General features: G+C 44.0%; 1 protein-coding gene and 1 non-coding gene across 13 annotated transcripts in view, besides 4 other annotated features; one reads left to right on the top strand and one right to left on the bottom strand.

The window, feature by feature from the left end:
* Window positions 308–807: an enhancer, noted in NCBI's record as "H3K4me1 hESC enhancer chr8:103145381-103145880 (GRCh37/hg19 assembly coordinates)". NCBI's record gives its function as "activates a minimal SCP1, AML or CMV promoter by ChIP-STARR-seq in primed H9 embryonic stem cells {active_cell/tissue: H9 hESC(primed)}" and the evidence as "EXISTENCE:reporter gene assay evidence [ECO:0000049][PMID:30033119]".
* Window positions 808–1,309: an enhancer, noted in NCBI's record as "H3K4me1 hESC enhancer chr8:103144879-103145380 (GRCh37/hg19 assembly coordinates)". NCBI's record gives its function as "activates a minimal SCP1, AML or CMV promoter by ChIP-STARR-seq in primed H9 embryonic stem cells {active_cell/tissue: H9 hESC(primed)}" and the evidence as "EXISTENCE:reporter gene assay evidence [ECO:0000049][PMID:30033119]".
* MIR5680 (microRNA 5680) lies at window positions 8,445–8,528 on the bottom strand. Its single transcript, NR_049859.1, has one exon. It is a non-coding gene; the product is annotated as a microRNA 5680 (primary transcript).
* A 524-nt stretch (window positions 8,529–9,052) lies between these two features.
* Window positions 9,053–17,229, top strand: part of NCALD (neurocalcin delta) — a 438,366-nt gene continuing 430,189 nt past the window's right edge. For 10 of the 12 annotated variants that reach the window (NM_001040627.2, XM_047422305.1, NM_001040629.2 and 7 more), the window contains exon 1: window positions 9,699–9,723. The gene's annotated coding sequence lies outside the window, so the exon portion shown is untranslated. Of the gene's footprint in view, window positions 9,391–9,698; window positions 9,724–17,229 lie in introns of those variants that run through there. The other 2 variants (NM_001040630.2, XM_047422315.1) reach the window with 1 other exon arrangement.
* Window positions 9,624–9,683: a silencer, noted in NCBI's record as "silent region_19435". NCBI's record gives its function as "represses an Ori minimal core promoter by ATAC-STARR-seq in GM12878 lymphoblastoid cells {active_cell/tissue: GM12878}" and the evidence as "EXISTENCE:reporter gene assay evidence [ECO:0000049][PMID:35858748]".
* Window positions 10,054–10,243: a silencer, noted in NCBI's record as "silent region_19434". NCBI's record gives its function as "represses an Ori minimal core promoter by ATAC-STARR-seq in GM12878 lymphoblastoid cells {active_cell/tissue: GM12878}" and the evidence as "EXISTENCE:reporter gene assay evidence [ECO:0000049][PMID:35858748]".

Raw genomic sequence — 17,229 nt, 5'->3', positions numbered from 1 at the left:
TTTCCTCCTGTAGCTCGGAGTAGTTTGATCGTCTGAAGCCTTCTTCTCTCAACTTGTCAAAGTCATTCTCCATCCAGCTTTGTTCCATTGCTGGTGAGGAGCTGCGTTCCTTTGGAGGAGGAGAGGCGCTCTACTTTTTAGAGTTTCCAGTTTTTCTGCTCTGCTTTTTCCCCATCTTTGTGGTTTTATCTACTTTTGGTCTTTGATGATGGTGATGTACAGATGGGTTTTTGGTGTGGATGTCCTTTCTGTTTGTTAGTTTTCCTTCTAACAGACAGGACCCTCAGCTGCAGGTCTGTTGGAGTTTGCTAGAGGTCCACTCCAGACCCTGTTTGCCTGGGTACCAGCAGTAGTGGCTGCAGAACAGTGGATTTTCGTGAACCGCGAATGCTGCTGTCTGAACGTTCCTCTGGAAGTTTTGTCTCAGAGGAGTACCCGGCCCTGTGAGGTGTCAGTCTGCCCCTACTGGGGGGTGCCTCCCAGTTAGGCTGCTTGGGGGTCAGGGGTCAGGGCCCACTTGAGGAGGCAGTCTGCCCGTTCTCAAATCTCCAGCTGCGCTCTGGGAGAACTACTGCTCTCTTCAAAGCTGTCAGACAGGGACATTTAAGTCTGCAGAGGTTACTGCTGTCTTTTTGTTTGTCTGTGCCCTGCCCCCAGAGGTGGAGCCTACAGAGGCAGGCCGGCCTCCTTGAGCTGTGGTGGGCTCCACCCAGTTCGAGCTTCCTGGCTGCTTTGTTTACCTAAGCAAGCCTGGGCAATGGCGGGCGCCCCTCCCCCAGCCTCACTGCTGCCTTGCAGTTTGATCTCAGACTGCTGTGCTAACAATCAGCGAGACTCCGTGGGCGTAGGACCCTCCAAGCCAGGTGCAGGATATAATCTCCTGGTGCGCCGTTTTTTAAGCCCGTGGGAAAAGCGCAGTATTGGGGTGGGAGTGACCCGATTTTCCAGGTGCCGTCTGTCACCCCTTTCCTTGACTAGGAAAGGGAACTCCCTGACCCCTTGTGCTTCCTGAGTGAGGCAATGCCTCTCCCTGCTTCGGCTTGCGTTTGGTGCACTGCACCCACTGTCCTGCGCCTTCTGTCTGGCACTCCCTAGTGAGATGAACCCGGTACCTCAGATGGAAATACAGAAATCACCCGTCTTCTGCGTCGCTCACACTGGGAGCTGTAGACCGGAGCGGTTCCTATTCGGCCATCTTGGCTCCAGCTGCCAATTTTTCTTAATAAACTCCCTTTCATGTAGCTGATTAGTTCTGTCCCTCTGGTGGATCCTGATTAATACACATACTTTCATTTCTTTTTATATACCTAGGAGTGGAATACTGGGTCATATCGTAACTCTATGTTTAACATTTTGAGGAACTAATAAATACTTTTGCAAAGTGGCTACACCATTTTTCAATCTCACTAGTAATGTATGAGGGTTATAAGTTTTTCTGGATGATGGCTAATCATATCACAAGGACACTTGGGTCTCAGAATGAAGAATGCACAACACAAAGGTAAAGAAAATTCATTTACAACCACACACAAATAAAAAACCCTGACTAGGCAAGGCAATCATGAGCAAAAAGAACAAAGCTAGAGGCTTCACACTATCTGCTTTCAATCTATGCCACAAAGTAATAATTCAAACAGCAAGGTACTGGCATAAAAATAGACACACTGATCAATGGAACAGAATGGGGAGCCAAAAATGAACCTATATATGTACCGTCAATTGATTTTTGACAAAGGTGCTAAGAATACACAATAGGCAAAGGATAGTCCCTTCAATAAATGGTATTAGGAAAAATGGATATACACATAAAGAAGAATTAAATTGGACCTTTATCTCATACCATATACAAAAACCAGCTCAAAAGGAATTAAAGACTTAAGCATAAGTCTTGAAACTATAAAACTACTAGAAGAAAACATAGGAGAAAAACTACATGACATTGGTCTGGTCAATGAGTTTTTGGATTTGACCCCCAAAGTACAGGCAACAAAAGCAAAAATAAGGAAATGGGATTGCATCAAACTATAAAGCTTCTACACAGCCCAGGAAACAGCAGTATGAAGAGACAATCTATGGATTAGGAGAAAATATTTGAGAGCCGTACATCTATTAGAAATTAATATCTAAAATATATAAAGAACTCAAACAACTCAATAGCAAGAAGACAAATAATGTGATTTTAAAATGAGCAAGGGGCCTGAATAGACATTTCTCAAAAGAAGACATACAAATAGCCAATAGCAATATGAAAAAATGTTCAACATTGCTAATCATTAGGGAAATGCAAATTAAAACCACAGTGAGGTATCACCTTACACCTATCAGAATGGCTATTATCAAAAAGACAAAAAAAAATATTGGCAAAGAAGTGAAAAAAAGGGGACCCTTGTACATTGTTGGTGGGAATATAAATTAGTACAATCATGGAAAACTATATGGAGTTTCCTTTAAAAACTAAAAATAGAATTACCATATAGCCCAGCAAACTCACTTCTGGGTATTTACCCAAACTATTTGAAATTAACTTGTTTAAGAGATGTTTGTACCCCCATGTTCATTGCAGCACTATTCACAATAGCCAAAACATGAAATCAACCAAAACATCCATCAACAGAGATGGATAAAGAAAATGTGCTATACAAGTATATACATAATAGGATACTATACAGCCTTTAAAAAGAAGGAAATCCTGTCATTTGTGACAACATGGATGGATTTGGAAAACATTATGCTAAGTGAAATATGCCAAGCACAGAAGGACAAAATCTGCATGTTCTCACTTACATTTAGAACCTAAAACAATCAGACTCCTAAAAGCAGAGAACTGAATGGTGGTTATCAAGGTTGGGGGTGGGAATGGGGAAATGACAATCAAAGAATATGAAGTCTTAGGAGGAATAAGTTTTCCTTTTGAGATCTATTGTTGCATGTTGAGGCAAATATAGTTAATAATAGTGTATTATACATTTCAAAATTGCTAAGAGAGTAAATTTCAAATGTTCTCACCACAAAAAATAAGTATTTGAGGTAATGGATATGCTAATTAGTTTGATTTAATATTCTACATTGTATTCATAAATCATAATACATTAATCACTTTGTATCCCATAGATATGTATGATTATAACTTATCAATTTACAATACAATTTTAAAAAGAATAACCACAACTCTCATATATTGCTGTTGAAATGCAATTTCGAAAACAGTTTGTCAGTTTCTTTTTTATTGATACATAATAATTTTAAATATTTATGGGGTACATGTGATATTTTGATACGGGTATACGATGTGTAATGATCAAACCAGAATAATTAGGATATTCATCACCTCAAACATTTATCATTTCTTTGTGTTGGGAACATTTCAAATCTTCTCTTCTAATGATTTTGAAATATATAATAAATTATTGTTAACTATAGTCACCCTACTGTGCTATCGAACACTAGAACTTATTACTTCTATCTAAGTGTGTTTTTGTACCTATTAACCAGCCTCCTTTCATACTCCTCCCCTTCCCAGCTCTGGTAACCACCATCTACTCTCCACTTCTATGAGTTTGATTGCTTTAGATTCCACATATAAGTGAGAACATGTGGTATTTGTCTTTCTGTGTCTGGCTTAGTTCACCTAGCATAATGTTCTCCAATTCCACCTACATTGCTACAAATGACAATATTTCATTCTTTTTTTTGGCTGAATAATATTTTATTGTGTATATATACCACATTTTCTTTATTCATTGATCCATTGACAGACACTTGGGTCGATTCCATACCTTGGCTATTGTGAAATGGTGTTGCAGTAAATATAGGAGTGTAAGTATCTCTTTGATTTACTGATTTCCTTTTTTTTGGATATGTTCCCAGCAGCTGGATCATATAGTAGTTCTATTTTTCATTTTTTGAGGAACCTCCATGCAGTTTTCCATAGTGGTTGTACTAATTTATATTTCCACCAGCAGTGTATTAGCATTCCCCTTTTCTCCCCATCCTTGCCAGCATCTGTTATTTTCTGTCTTTTTGATATATATAGTTTAGCTATATATATCATAGTTATACACTTACCATGGGATCTAGCAATGCCAGTCCTATATATTTGACCAAATGGAATAACAGCTTGTATTCACAGAAAAAACTGTAGGCAATTATTTTAGTAGCTTTATTAATAATTGCCCCAAACTGGAAATAACCTAACTTTCCTTCAACTGGTGAATGAATAACAACCTATGGTACATTCATACCATAAAAAGGAATAAATCATTGATGTACTTAACAACACAAATGAATAACACATGCTTCATGCTAAGTGAAGCCAGACTTGAAAGGCTACATACTATATGATTCATTGATCTGACGTTCTTGAAAAGAAAGAACCACGGAGGCAAAGAACACATCAGTGATTGCCAGGGGCTAGGGTTAGGGCAAAGGCTTCACTACAATGGGCAGTAACATTTTTGGAGGGGTGACAGTGCTCTGAATTCTGATAGAAATGATGGCTACTCAACCGTGCATTTATTAAAACAAGCAGAACTGCTTATTAAGAAAGTGAATTTTATTGTTTGTCAATTAAAAAAAATACATTTCAAAGGAGCCTTCAATGACTTTGCATTGTTCTTAGAATAAATTCCAACTGAGAGTAAATTTTATGTTCTTGATCCCAGGTTGCGAAACAGTCCATGGTCTGGCCCTGGCACTCTGTGACCTTGTTTTTTACTCTCCCTTCTGGCCACTGTATTAAGCTCATTTTATGCATCCTCTAAGATAGATGATAATGCACCAATTTGCTAGAGCAAACCCAGCAGTGGTCTGTACTATCACTGTGTTCAGGGGGCCGGGTTGCTGCTACTTCTGCTACTACTTCGGATTGAGGTGCTCACTGTGGCTGCTGCTCCCAGTCCCTCAGGGCGCTCTCAGGTACAGCCAGCCCAGCAGTGCCTCACCTCCTGTCATATGCCTTGCCTTCCACCTTGGGACTTCCCTGATGTTGTCCAGGCAGCTACTTTGTGGCCACTCAAATGCAACCTAGGAGGGCTAAGTTAACTAATGGGAGACTAAATTGACTAACGGGAGAAGGGAGCCTGCTAGTAAGTTTTCTTTCTTCCAACCACACCAGTAGTCTTCCTCCACTGCCGACAGATGTTTGGAACTTCAGAAGCATTACATTGTTTCTCTGAAGACCATAGATCAGTGCCTTTCTCTTGGATCCCTCCTAAACTCTCAGTAATGCCCCCATACTGCCTCCTGACCAACCCTTGGTGCTCCTGCAGACTCGAGAGGCAATGCCCAGCCACGGAATGCACTTCCTTGTAGTTGCTCTCCCTCTTCTCCTGACTCACTTCCCTTTTCTCTCAGTCCTACTCCCCTGTGATTTCACTTCCTTACGCACTGTTCATGCCTAAACTTTTGCTCAGGCTCTGCTTGCGGGGAGTTCAGCCAAAGGCACCCCCACCAAGCTCTAGCACATCTGATTTCCTGGATTCCAGAATAAGCTGTGTATTTCCCCCCAACCTACCCCCAAGTTAGAGCCTTTGCACTGTGTTTCCCCTGCCTGGCTCCTTCCTCAGCTGTTCCATCAATCATTCTATGTGAATTACTGACATAGGCACTCATCTAATATATGTCTTATGTGCTCTATTTATTTTTCTCTCATTAAACTTTAAGGCCCACAAGAGCATGAACCTGTCTGTCTTGTTTAGTGCTATATCCTGAGAGCCTGGAGCAGCTCTAAGCACACAGGAGGCCCTTAGAATGAATACTTGCCATTGTTGGACTGGCTAGTCTAAAATCTATACATTCAGTTGCTTGCTTGACACAAACTTGCCAGTCAGTGCCCAAAGTTGACCAAATGAGGTGGTGAGAGAACTGTCCCAGCAAATGAGACCTCTTGAGGTGGGAGGCTCTGAATGTAGACTTACTGCCGGTTGTCTCAGTGTTCCCAGTTTTCAATACCACACTGTTGAAAGAGCGTTTAAAAAAGCAGGGCCCGGCCAGGAGGGGTGGCTCACTCCTGTAATCCCAGCACTTTGGGAGGCCAAGGCGGGTGGATCACCTGAGGTCAGGAATTCAAGACCAGCCTGGCCAACATGGTGAAACCCTGTCTCTACTAAAAATACAAAAATTAGCTGGGCATGGTGGCGGGCACCTGTAATCCCAGCTACTCAGGAAGCTGAGGCAGGAGAATCACTTGAACCTGGGAGGCGGAGGTTGCAGTGATCCGAGATCATGCCATTGCACTCCAGCCTGGGCAACAAGAGTGAAACTCCATCTTAAAAAAAAAAAAGCAGGGCCCAACATTCAGACATAAATCTTTATGTTCTTGAATTAGGCAAAGCCTTTTAGGTATGACACTAAAAGTACAAGCATCAAAAGAAAAGACAGATAATTTGTGTTTCATCAAAATGGAAAACTTTTATGCGTCAAAGGACAGCACCAAGAAAATAAAAAGGCAAGCCACAGAAATGGAGGAAATACTGACAAATCATAGATCTGATAAGGGACTTATATCCAGAGTATATAAAAAAATTCTCACACCTGGATAATAAAATGATAAATAACCAAATTTAAAATGGGCAAAGGATCTGAATAGACATTTCTCTGAAGAAGTTATGGCCAATACACACATGAAGATGACCAACACCATGAGCCATTAGGAAAATGGAAATCAAATGTTATAAGATACCACTCTATGAGAACACATGGAACACACGGACACAGGGAGGGAACAACACACACCAGGGCCTGTCGGTTGTGGGGGTTGGGGAGCAAGGGGATGGAGAGCATTAGGACAAATACCTAATGCATGTGGGGCTTAAAACCTAGATGATGGGTTGATGGGTGCAGCAAACCACCATGGCACATGTATACCTATGTAACAAACCTGCACATTCTGCACATGTATCCCAGAACTTAAAGAAAAATTTAAAAAAAGAGATACCATTGTACCTCCACTAGGATGGTATGATTTTTTCAGTGGCAAATAACAAGTGTTGGCGAGGATATGGAAGAAATCTGGAACCTTCATATAGTGCTGGTGGGAATGTAGAATGGTGCAGCTGGTTTGGGAAAAGGTATGGCAATTTCTCAAAATGTTCAACGTGGAGTTACCATGTGATCTGGCAATTTATATATATACCCAAGAAAAATGAAAATGTACATCCACACAAAAACTCGAACAGAAATGTTCATAGTAGCATTATCCACAATAGTAAAAAAGTGAAACAACCTAAATGTCTGTCAACTGATAAATGGATAATCAAAATGTGATAGAGCTATACAATGACATCGTTTGTTCATAAAGAGGAACAAAGTACTGATGCATGCTACAACATGAGACAGCCTTGATAACATTAAGCTGAGTGAAAGAAGCCAGTCACAAAGTCCTCAAATTGTATGATTCCATTTATATAAAATGTCCAGAATTGGCAAATCTACATAGAGAGAAAATAGATAAGTGGTCACTGGAAGTTGGGGGTTGGGGAAAGAAGGGAATGAGTGCTAATAGGTGTGGGATTTCTTTATGGGGTGATGAAAATCAGTTCTAAAATTGGCTATGGTAATAGTTTGTACAACTAACTGCATATGCAAAAAATATTAAATTGCATATTTTGAGTGAATAGTATGATGTGTGAATTATACCTCAGCAAAACTGTTTTTTTTTTAACAGTAGAGATCATTAAAGAAAAATCACATCAATAAAGAAAAGTAGATAAAGTGGACTTTAAAATCACCTCTCTCTCTGAGGAATCCCACCCCAAGCACCTTCCTAACTGCTTCCTATGCACAGAATCTGTCCAGACTACAGGTGACGAACCGATGACCAGGGGACCACTTGTGGCCTACAAATTCTTATTTTCTTGGCTTATAGAGAAATATTTAAAAAATATTTAAAATTTTTTAAAATATTTAAAAAATAAGTTACTAATATTTTTAAATTAGAAGAGTTCACATTAAACGTGAACTTCTGGCTTCTCTTGGGGGCAGGGGGAACCAAACCAAAATAAAATAAAATACCCCGACTTGATGGCCACACTGGACCCTCTTTTCCCACGTAGAAAAATGAGGCTGCCTTTTTCAGGGCCATTGTGCCCTTCTCAGTTTGTCCCTGTATAACCACTTAAGTTACTTCTTTGTCACCTGCTTTTATCCTTCAGGGACATTTGAGTTTGCAACACCTGTGCAGACCTTTTGCTGTATCAACGGGACGTTCCCTTAGGCCCTGCTTGATGATTGGCTAATCCTATGGTGGTTTCCAACCCTGGCCACACATCAGAGTCTCCTGGGGCCCATGTGAAAAAAATACCCATACAAAGCTGGACACCCCTGAACCCCGGATTTTTTTTTTTTTTAACAATTAGATTAGATTCTCTCGGGGTCGGGCCTAGTATTAAGAAAAAAGAAAAAACCAAAAACCAAAAAATCCAACTTTCCAATGCAAATTTTTGCTTGCATTGGATTAGCAGATTAGTCCAGCATTTCTCCTCCTGTGTGTCCAGGAAGGGAAATGCTGGGCTAACCTGCTAACCCAATGCAAGCAAAGGTTTTAGTATTTGATGATGGTTTAACAGCCTCCTAGATAATTTTTGTTTTACAATTGAAGGCAACCGGTAGAGCTAGGAAAGGGTGCTTTTGATTAGATGAAACTTTTACTTGGTGTTTAAATCAGAGTTGGCAGCTGTCTGGACCTCAATGTAACTGTCCTTTCTATAACCAGTCATGTTAAAAGATTTTGCAAACATTACAACGAGGAAGGCCAGGTCACGGTGCCTTTGCAGCCTTGTTATTTTTAAGCAGCAACTTTTTAAATTGATGAATTTGAGTTGCTCTTGAGACCTTCTGCGGGTTCTGGAAATGTCACCAGGGTTGACAAGCACAAGGAGTTAGTTACAGTGGCTTTTTGAGAGGCCATGAGTGGACGACACAGCAAGACAGGAAACAGGTGCTGGCAGCCAGCAGGTACTCGATAAATATTGGGTGAATGAATTGACAAGACATTTTGCTTCTCATTATCTCCACACGAGATGAAAAATTTGAGGGGAGGAAGGAGGGGCAGGAGAGGGGCCCCTTAGATGTCTTCCTCCGGATTTTTTGTTAAGCTTTTCCTAGACAGTTTACAGAAGGCTTTGGGTAGAGAAAGCACTAGTTAGACAAAAGCAGCCCCCCTCCCACCTTGTGGGCATGAAGAGTCCAGAGGACACCACCTGAGAAGCTTTTCAACTGCCTTCCAAGGCTCCCTTGAACTTCACTGCGGTAGAGCAGGGACCCCAGACCCCCCCTCAAATCGAAGCTTGGAAGGAGGTGCTCTAGGCTGAATCTGACCTCCCAGGACCCGAGGAGGCAAGCAGATGGCACCCCTTGGAAAGTAGCAGTGCAGGCTGGCTAGAGGCCTGGGCGGTGAGCTAGGACTATGGGGCACCGTGGGGACACGCCCGGAGGCTGCACCAGGGCAAGCGGGGGAGGGGGGGGGCGTCCACTGCACCTGCAAATCCCGCGCCTCATCTTGGCCCCCCTGCAACCCCGCGGTGAAGCCCACGCCGGAGAGGCTGCCTGCGGGGCTGCAGTGGAGAGGGGGTCTGCGGCCGCGAGGAGGGAGGCGGCGAGCCAGGCTGGGGAGGGGGGCGCGGCTGGCGACGGTGCTGTCCAGGGGGAGGCGGGCGGAGGGAAGGCGCTGCCGCTGCTGCCGCCGCCTCGCCCGAAGCGACACAGACGCTGGGAGCGGCCGAGGCGGTGAGTCGCAGCGCCTTCCCTCCGCTTCTCGGGAGCCAGAGCGGAGTCGGAGTTGCAGCCGGGGCGGGTGTGCCGGGGGCGGCTGCTGGGGGGGACCCGTGCGCTCGGTGCGCCGCGGGCGCAGGGGTGGGTTCGAGGAGCGCGCGGTTCTGGGAACCTGGTTCCAGCAGCTCCCTCCTGGGTGCAGTTCACCCTGTCAATTCCTCTGTCATTCCCCCAGTGCCTCTGAGGGAAAACAAAACAAAATTACAGACCTTGAGGGTGGGCGGCAGAAAAGGAGAGAGCAACTTTGCAGAGGGCCGCGCAGAGGCGCGTGGGGCCGGCGGGATGGGGCGCGCTGGGCAGAAGGGGGCGTTGGTGAGCCTGGCGGCCCGGGGACCTCTGGAGCATCCCGCCCCGGGGGCCGGGGCCGGGGCCGGGGGCCGGGGCACCCGCTGGATCCCGGGCCTGCGGAGTCTGCCCGGAAAGGCCACAGGAGGCGAGTGCGGGGCGTGGGCGTCTGGGGAGGGGGCCAAGGGAGAGGCCGAAAGGCGCTGGTTGAACACGGACGAGGAAGTGGTCTGCATTTTGGACTCAGGACCTGAAAGATTCGTGTCCCTTGCGCTCGAGGACTTGGGAAGGGTGTGCTGGGGAGATGTGTTTGAGTGTTTTTCAGTGCATACCGATTTATTTTTAGCTCCCAGAGAAGCAGGATGTGCAAAGTGGGTTGTATCAGCCCGGGAGGGGCAGGAGGTCTCCCTGTCCGCAGGAAATACACAAGTTTTTTTTTTTTTTTTCTAATGCTGCAGATGCTTGCTTTAACTTTTGTGCATGGAGAAAGAATGCCATTTGGCTCTGCAGAGCTCCTGCCAGGGTCAGTTTCTTCCTGCGGGTCTGTCGGAGGCCGCAGGCGAGGCGGCTGGTGTGCTGCTGTGCTTACACGCTAGCCCCGCAAGAAGGTCTATGTTCTGTTCCGTAGGGCAGCTACGGTGAAACACAGAAGTAGGCAGCCAAGGTCTCACTCTCTCAGAAGGAAACCACACAAGCTCGCTCAAAGTTTTCCTACTTCTGGCTGATTTGAAAATAACAGACCTAAGCCACTGTATTACCAAGAGCAGAGTTTGCTGTCAGGGGTTTCTCAGACCTAAGTGGAAATGCTTGTGAGGTTTTTCACTCCAATTGGGAGATCCCCGTGTTTTATGGCCAAAGGCCTTGATGCAGACTACAAAGGAGAGGGGGTGTGGTGTGATGGTGGGAGTGTGGGTACTTGCGGTAGCGGGGCAAGGACAGATCTGGGGAGGAGGCTCAAGAAACTGAAATTCACATGTTTACCTACCCAAGCCAGATCTCTGGAAATTGTCCTGGAGTCTCCCCTGTCTCAACCATTCAGTGTCCAGTCCTGTAGACCCTCTGTCTGTAACTGTATTAGGAGAGTTGCCAATATGGACATTAGGAGTGTGGGCTCTGCAGCCAGACAGCCGGGTTTGAGCTGTGGCTCATTCGTCAATAGCTCCTGGATCTTGGGGTCCTTACTTAACCTCTACTGTGTTTTCTGATGTGAGGCATGAGGTTGATAATAGATAACAAAGCTATCTCAGGGTTACTGTGAAGATAAAATGAGTTAATACCCAGAAAGCACTAAGCATCATGCCTTGTTGTAAGTGCTGCATAAATGTGAGCTCTTATTATTTTTGTTGTTGTTGCTATACGCCCTCTTCTCTCAGTTCCTGCTGTCACTGACTTAGTTCATATTCTCAGCACTTCTTGCCTGAATTGTTCCAATTGCTTTTGAGCTTGTTGTTCCCAATCAGGACCGTCTTACTCCAGTCCATTCTCCAAACTGTGGACACTCATTCCAAAAACAAAAATCTAAGCCAGTCATTCTGCTTAATTTCCTTTAGAGGTTTTCTGTGGTTTTCAGGATAGAATTCACACTCCAGGGACTTTCACGGTCCCACCCTTCTCTCTTCATTAACCTCATCTCCCAAGCCTCCCCCCACGTAGCCTCTGCTCAAGCCACTGAGTCGCAGCATCTATCATCTCCCCAACCTTCCTTGTCTGGTCAACTCCTATGCATTCTTGGCAGCTCAGCTGCTGCGACACTGCCTTCCAGCAGGCTGCATGGCACTCCCCCTCCCAGAGGTGCCATGCTACCCTGGATGTAGCCCTCGCATCATTCTGCACCATTATCTATGTATCTTTCTATGTACATTATCTATGTATCTATGTATCAAGGCACCTGCATGTGCCTTGAGAGATGGATTCTGATTGTAGGTACATGTTTGTTGAATGAATAAACAAACATCAGTCAAACAAAATCCAGTCCTTTTCACTAAAGCCAGAATCAAACACAGAGAATAATAGACAGAGAGGAGGACCAAACCAAGCTTTATATCTAACACTCTACGATAAAAAACCTTGGGAAATACTAAGGAATCAAGAGTTGGTCAAAAGAAATGTGGCATACTGTCTTGAAACTGATGGGATCCTTGCCCTCGAGGTGTGTCCTTTTAATGGTGAGGGGCAGACTAACAATGAAGAAATGTAACGATCTGAACCCTTCTCTTTCCTTACTTCTCTCATGAAAAGGTCAGGCATCTCAGATGTGGCTGTAGGGGATGGAGGTCCAATTTTTTGAAAGGGTTGTGCAGTGAATTTGGTTCTGGAGGCAGAGGTGAAGTTTATAACACACATGGGTTTTATAGCTTTTCCTTGAATTATGTATAGCATCCCTCAGAATGTGAATTTCAGATTGCCTGGTATTGGTATGATAACAGGAAATCTGCAGTCACCAAAGCTCTTTTGTTACTTTTTGGACTATTCAGTATGTTCAGAGGGTACTTTTCTGACTCAGGCACCCACTCCAAGCTCTCCAACTCCTGGGGTCCCAGGAAGTTGCACGGGAAGATAAGAGCTGCTGCTTCCCTGAGGCAGCCCCAGAGTCTGGCTTCAAAGCTCTAGAGAAGGGATTTTTGTACAACCGAGAGCAAAGAATGAGCTTTATATTTTTAAAGCGTTGTAAACAAAAACACAACACAACACAACAAAACACGGAGAAGAATATGTGATAGGGACCATGTCTAAAATACTTACTACTTAGCTCCTTATAGGAAAATTTTGCCAACTGTTGCAATGAAGCTGAGACATATTGGTTTCATATTGCACATCATCTGACTGGCTGCCTGGAAATCTGGGTCCAGTAGGAATCCAAGGCTGGGTCTGGGCTCAGCAAGAAAGTGTGCTGTGGTCAACTAGTGATGTCTGTCTGCTAGGGAATGGGATTAGGGAATAGTCTTTACCATTCCTATCCTAGAGAATATCATTTGCGGATAATGAAGACAGAAATCAGGGATAGAGCACATGAGTTAAAAGTCCCTAGAAGGCAGGAACTTTCTACCACAACAATGAACAATCACTGCAGTTAACATTGATATTGGCATTTATTGAGTGTGTACTATGTGGCCCTGGTTTACATGGAATACCTCATTTAACATTTATGATAATTTTTCAGGAGATATTTTACTTAGGACTCAATTCTGTTGTGTCAGGAACCCCAACATTCAAACTGTTTTAGCAAAAAAGGAATGTTATTTTGGCTCTGATAACTCCTCAGTCCAGAGGAAGACATTTCGGATATGGCCTGATTCAGGCCTCAAACATTGTTAGCGGGACCTCATTTCTCTATTTTTCTCAGCTTGCTTTCATGGAGTCGGCACCATTTTTAGTACCATCTCATTGAGGCCCCATCTCGTTGTAGGATGGCTGGAAGAGCTCCAGACCTTACATAGTCTGGGCTTTAAATCCAGCCAGAAAGTGGAAGTCTCCATCCCGGCATTGCTCACAATGACTTACTCTGGCTCGTCAGCATTGATTGGGTCCTGTGTCTATTCCTGTGACCAGGGTGCCACATGTTACTAGGCTTGGGCTTCATCACATGTCACATGTTTCATCCTTAGAGACGGGCTGAGAAATAGGAGCAGGGGTGTTTCTTCAGCAGAAAATTGTTATACTCTCACCAAGAGATGAGCCCCTGGATTTTGGATTGCAAAGCAACAGATGTTCACTATAGGACTGTTAGCATTCCCTCTTCATAGATAAGAGAAACAGCGTTAGAAGCACGCAATAATTTGCTCAAGGTCACATGGTCAGTAAATAGTGGAGTTCTCATCTGAAATCCACAATTTATGCACTTAGTAGAATTACTTGTGAACAGAGTATTTAAAGTGAGTTTAGTGAGCTTAGTGTGAAGCTCTAGCCTCTCTATTCCTGCAAGTATAGCTATATAACTTCAAGAAATTTTAAGTTCTGACTGGCTAGAAGACATGAGAAAAATGACATAGACGTCTCTGCCTGGATTTTTACTCAACTATTTGACCAATATTCTTGAGCAGTTTCTACATGCTCAGCATTCTGTTAGGTTGTAGGGATACAGGCTGAATAAGATCTAGTCCCCTGTCTTTAGGAATTTATATTCTAATGTGAAAGTGCAAGACATAATTAGGGAAGGGATTGACTAGAATCTGGAGCAGGTAGGGGAATGTGCAGGAGGTAAGTTCCCTTCCTGGGGATGGTGGTCTTGCATTTTGTTTCCTGAGGCAGCCCCAGTACAGTGCTTTGTGCCATAGGCAAGCAATAAATATTTCTTGAATACAACCTTTTAAAAAACTGTGGTTAAATATACATAACATAAAATTGACCATTTTAACCATTCTTAAACGTACAGTTCAGTGGCTTTAAATACATTCACATTATTGTGCAACCATCACCACCATCCATCTCCAGAACTTCTTCATCCTGCCCAGCTGAAACTCTGTTTCCACTAAACACTAACTTCCTATCTCCTCCTCCCTTCCAACCTCTGGCAACCACTATTCTACTTTCTGTCTCTATGAATTGACTACTCTAGGTACCTCATATAAAAGGTATTTGTCTTTTTTGTGACTGGCCTATTTCACTTATAATAATGTCCCCAGAGATCATCCGTGTTGTAACATGGGCAGAATTTCTTTCCTTTTTAAGGTGGAATACTGTTCCATTGTATGTATGTACCACACTTTGTTTATCCATGCATCTGCTGATGGACGTTTGGGTTGCTTCCATCTTTTGGCTACTGTGAAAACACTGCTGTGAATATGGGTGTACAGTGATATGTTCAACTCCCTGTTTTCAGTTCTTCTGGGTATATACCCAGAAGTGGAAATGCTGAGTTATATGGCAATTCTGTGTTTAAGTTTTGGAGGAACATCCACTGTTTTCCACGGTGGTACCATTTAACATACCCACCAGCAATGCACAAGGATTCCATCAACACTTGTTATTTTCTGTTTTTTCTTTTAATATAATAGCCATGCTAGTAGGTGTGAAATGTTGAACACATTCTTGAAGGTAGGTTGGAATTGAATTGTGAGAAATAGTGGTAGAGTTTAAACTTCATTCTAGGGTCATGGGGAACCATTGGATATTTGTTGCCTGTGATAATGGCATGATCGGAAGGTTTGGACGTTAGAGAGGGGGTGGGGAGAAGAGGAAAGCAGCAGAGAAGTTATTTTAATTATTTAGATGAGAGAACATAATAGTTTTCCCCACATCTGTACAACTGAAAATATGTCTATCTCTAGTAAATGGTACTGAACTTGGGGAGGAAATGTAAATACGGCATCGAGAGATCTCATGGCCCAGGATTCCTCACAGAAGTAGACTACTGTTGCTAATAATAGCACTCATGCTAGCAAATGCCTAAAGGCGATTCAAGTATTGATTAATTCTGCTAAATCCTATGAAAGATTCCTCCTCCAGCATCCCATAAGGAGGCGGATGAACTGCTCAGAAGGCAGTAACTGAGGAAAGTTAATGAAGGGACTATTTACAAAGGTGCGGGTAAGATCAGGGAACCCACCAGAAGTGGCCAGCAGTGCATGCAAGCCTTCACTACCCAGCCCTGACAGCATGAGGTGAGAGAGCAGTTTCTGGAGTTGTTCAGGGGACAGGGCTGCTGGCTGGAGCTGTGGTTTTCAGTAGAGGAATATGACTACTGCCCATTGTGGCCTGGTGGGGAGGCATCCAGGTGGATAAAGGCCCCAGCCACTCTCTTCCACTCTCTGATCTGGTGCTGGTGCCTCCCAATTGGCCAAACTAGCCACAGCCAGACAGCAAGAAGGCCTGTTGATGTGGGACTATCTTGTAGTCCATAGTAGCCAACACAAAGTAGTGTTCTAATTATCCCCAATTTACAGGTAAGTGAACCGAGGCATTGAGAGGTTGAATGATTTACCAACATTGGGAGCTAGTGCAGGTTATGGAGCTGAAATCTGAAGACTGACAAATAATCAGAGATCATCAGCACATTTCTTCTGTATATGCAGCTGGATCTGGAAGGTTACGTTTTCCCCAACCTGTGTGTTTTGGTTCTTTGGAAATAATCTGATGTGTACAAACTTGGCTTGGCTGTCAATAGGTGGTGTGGGTGCCTGCTCAGATCCCCCACTTTTTACAAAAATAATGTACTTTGCAGGCATATTTCATACTTGATTCATTGTGTTTAGATAAAAAGAATATTTTCCATATACTTGATGGGAGTGACAACATGTCCTTGAATCACATTTGCTACACATGAAAAAGATGTAAGTTGCGTTTTTTTTTTTTTTGAGTTGAAAGTGCCAACGGAGTTGACAGTGTCACCTGGCTGTTTAAACATTAGTGAGACCTTGGGCTGCAATAAGAGAATACTGTTCAAAGGAAGGGAGAGGATCGTTCCCTCTGTGCTGCCCTGACTGGTACAAGTTAAGGGGATTTCTCATGAGCTGGCGGATGCCGAGGACAGTAGCTGGGACTCTCTGGCCTGGAATCGCTCTGTGGGACTTTTATATTCTTTTCTTCACATACATGAAAGCACTGTACTGAGGGAAAGGGATTAGACTCATCTGGGGCCAGAACTAGGCCTACTGTGAACACGGAATGGGCTGCTTTGGAAGGCTTCATATAGTCCCTGGCCGGAGATTGTGAAGCTGAGGCCACAGGTGAGAGATGGGGCTGTAAGCTTATATTTGTTTCCTGTGGCCGCTGAAACAAATGACCACAAAATGGTGGTTGAATGCAACAGATATTTATCCTCTCACGGCTCCGGAGGCTAGAAGTCTGAGGCCGAAATGCCGTGCTTCCTCCAGGGATTCTAGGGGCGACTTCATCCTTTGCCTCTTTTAGCTTCTGGTAGCTGCAGCATTCTTGGGCATGAGGTTGCATCACTAGAGCTGCGCTGCACGTCACATTGCTTCCTGCTCTTCTCTGTGTGTCTCTCCTCTGCGCATCTTTTATAAAGACATTTGTCACTGGATTTAGAACCCAGCTGCGTGATCCAGAATGATTTTATTTCAAGATCCTTTATGACATCTGCAAAGACCCTTTTTCCAAATAAGGTCATATTCACTGGTTCCGGGGGTTAAAGCTTGGTTATGGCCAGGCCCAGTGGCTCATGTCTGTAATCCCAGCACTTTGGGAGGTCGAGGCAGGAGGATTGCTTGAGCCCAGGAG

The sequence above is a fragment of the Homo sapiens genome, chromosome 8 (assembly GCF_000001405.40).
Source record: "Homo sapiens chromosome 8, GRCh38.p14 Primary Assembly".
Classification (NCBI taxonomy): Eukaryota; Metazoa; Chordata; class Mammalia; order Primates; family Hominidae; genus Homo; species Homo sapiens.
Note: the sequence above shows the minus strand (reverse complement) of the source record. Positions and strands in the feature narration are given on the sequence as shown.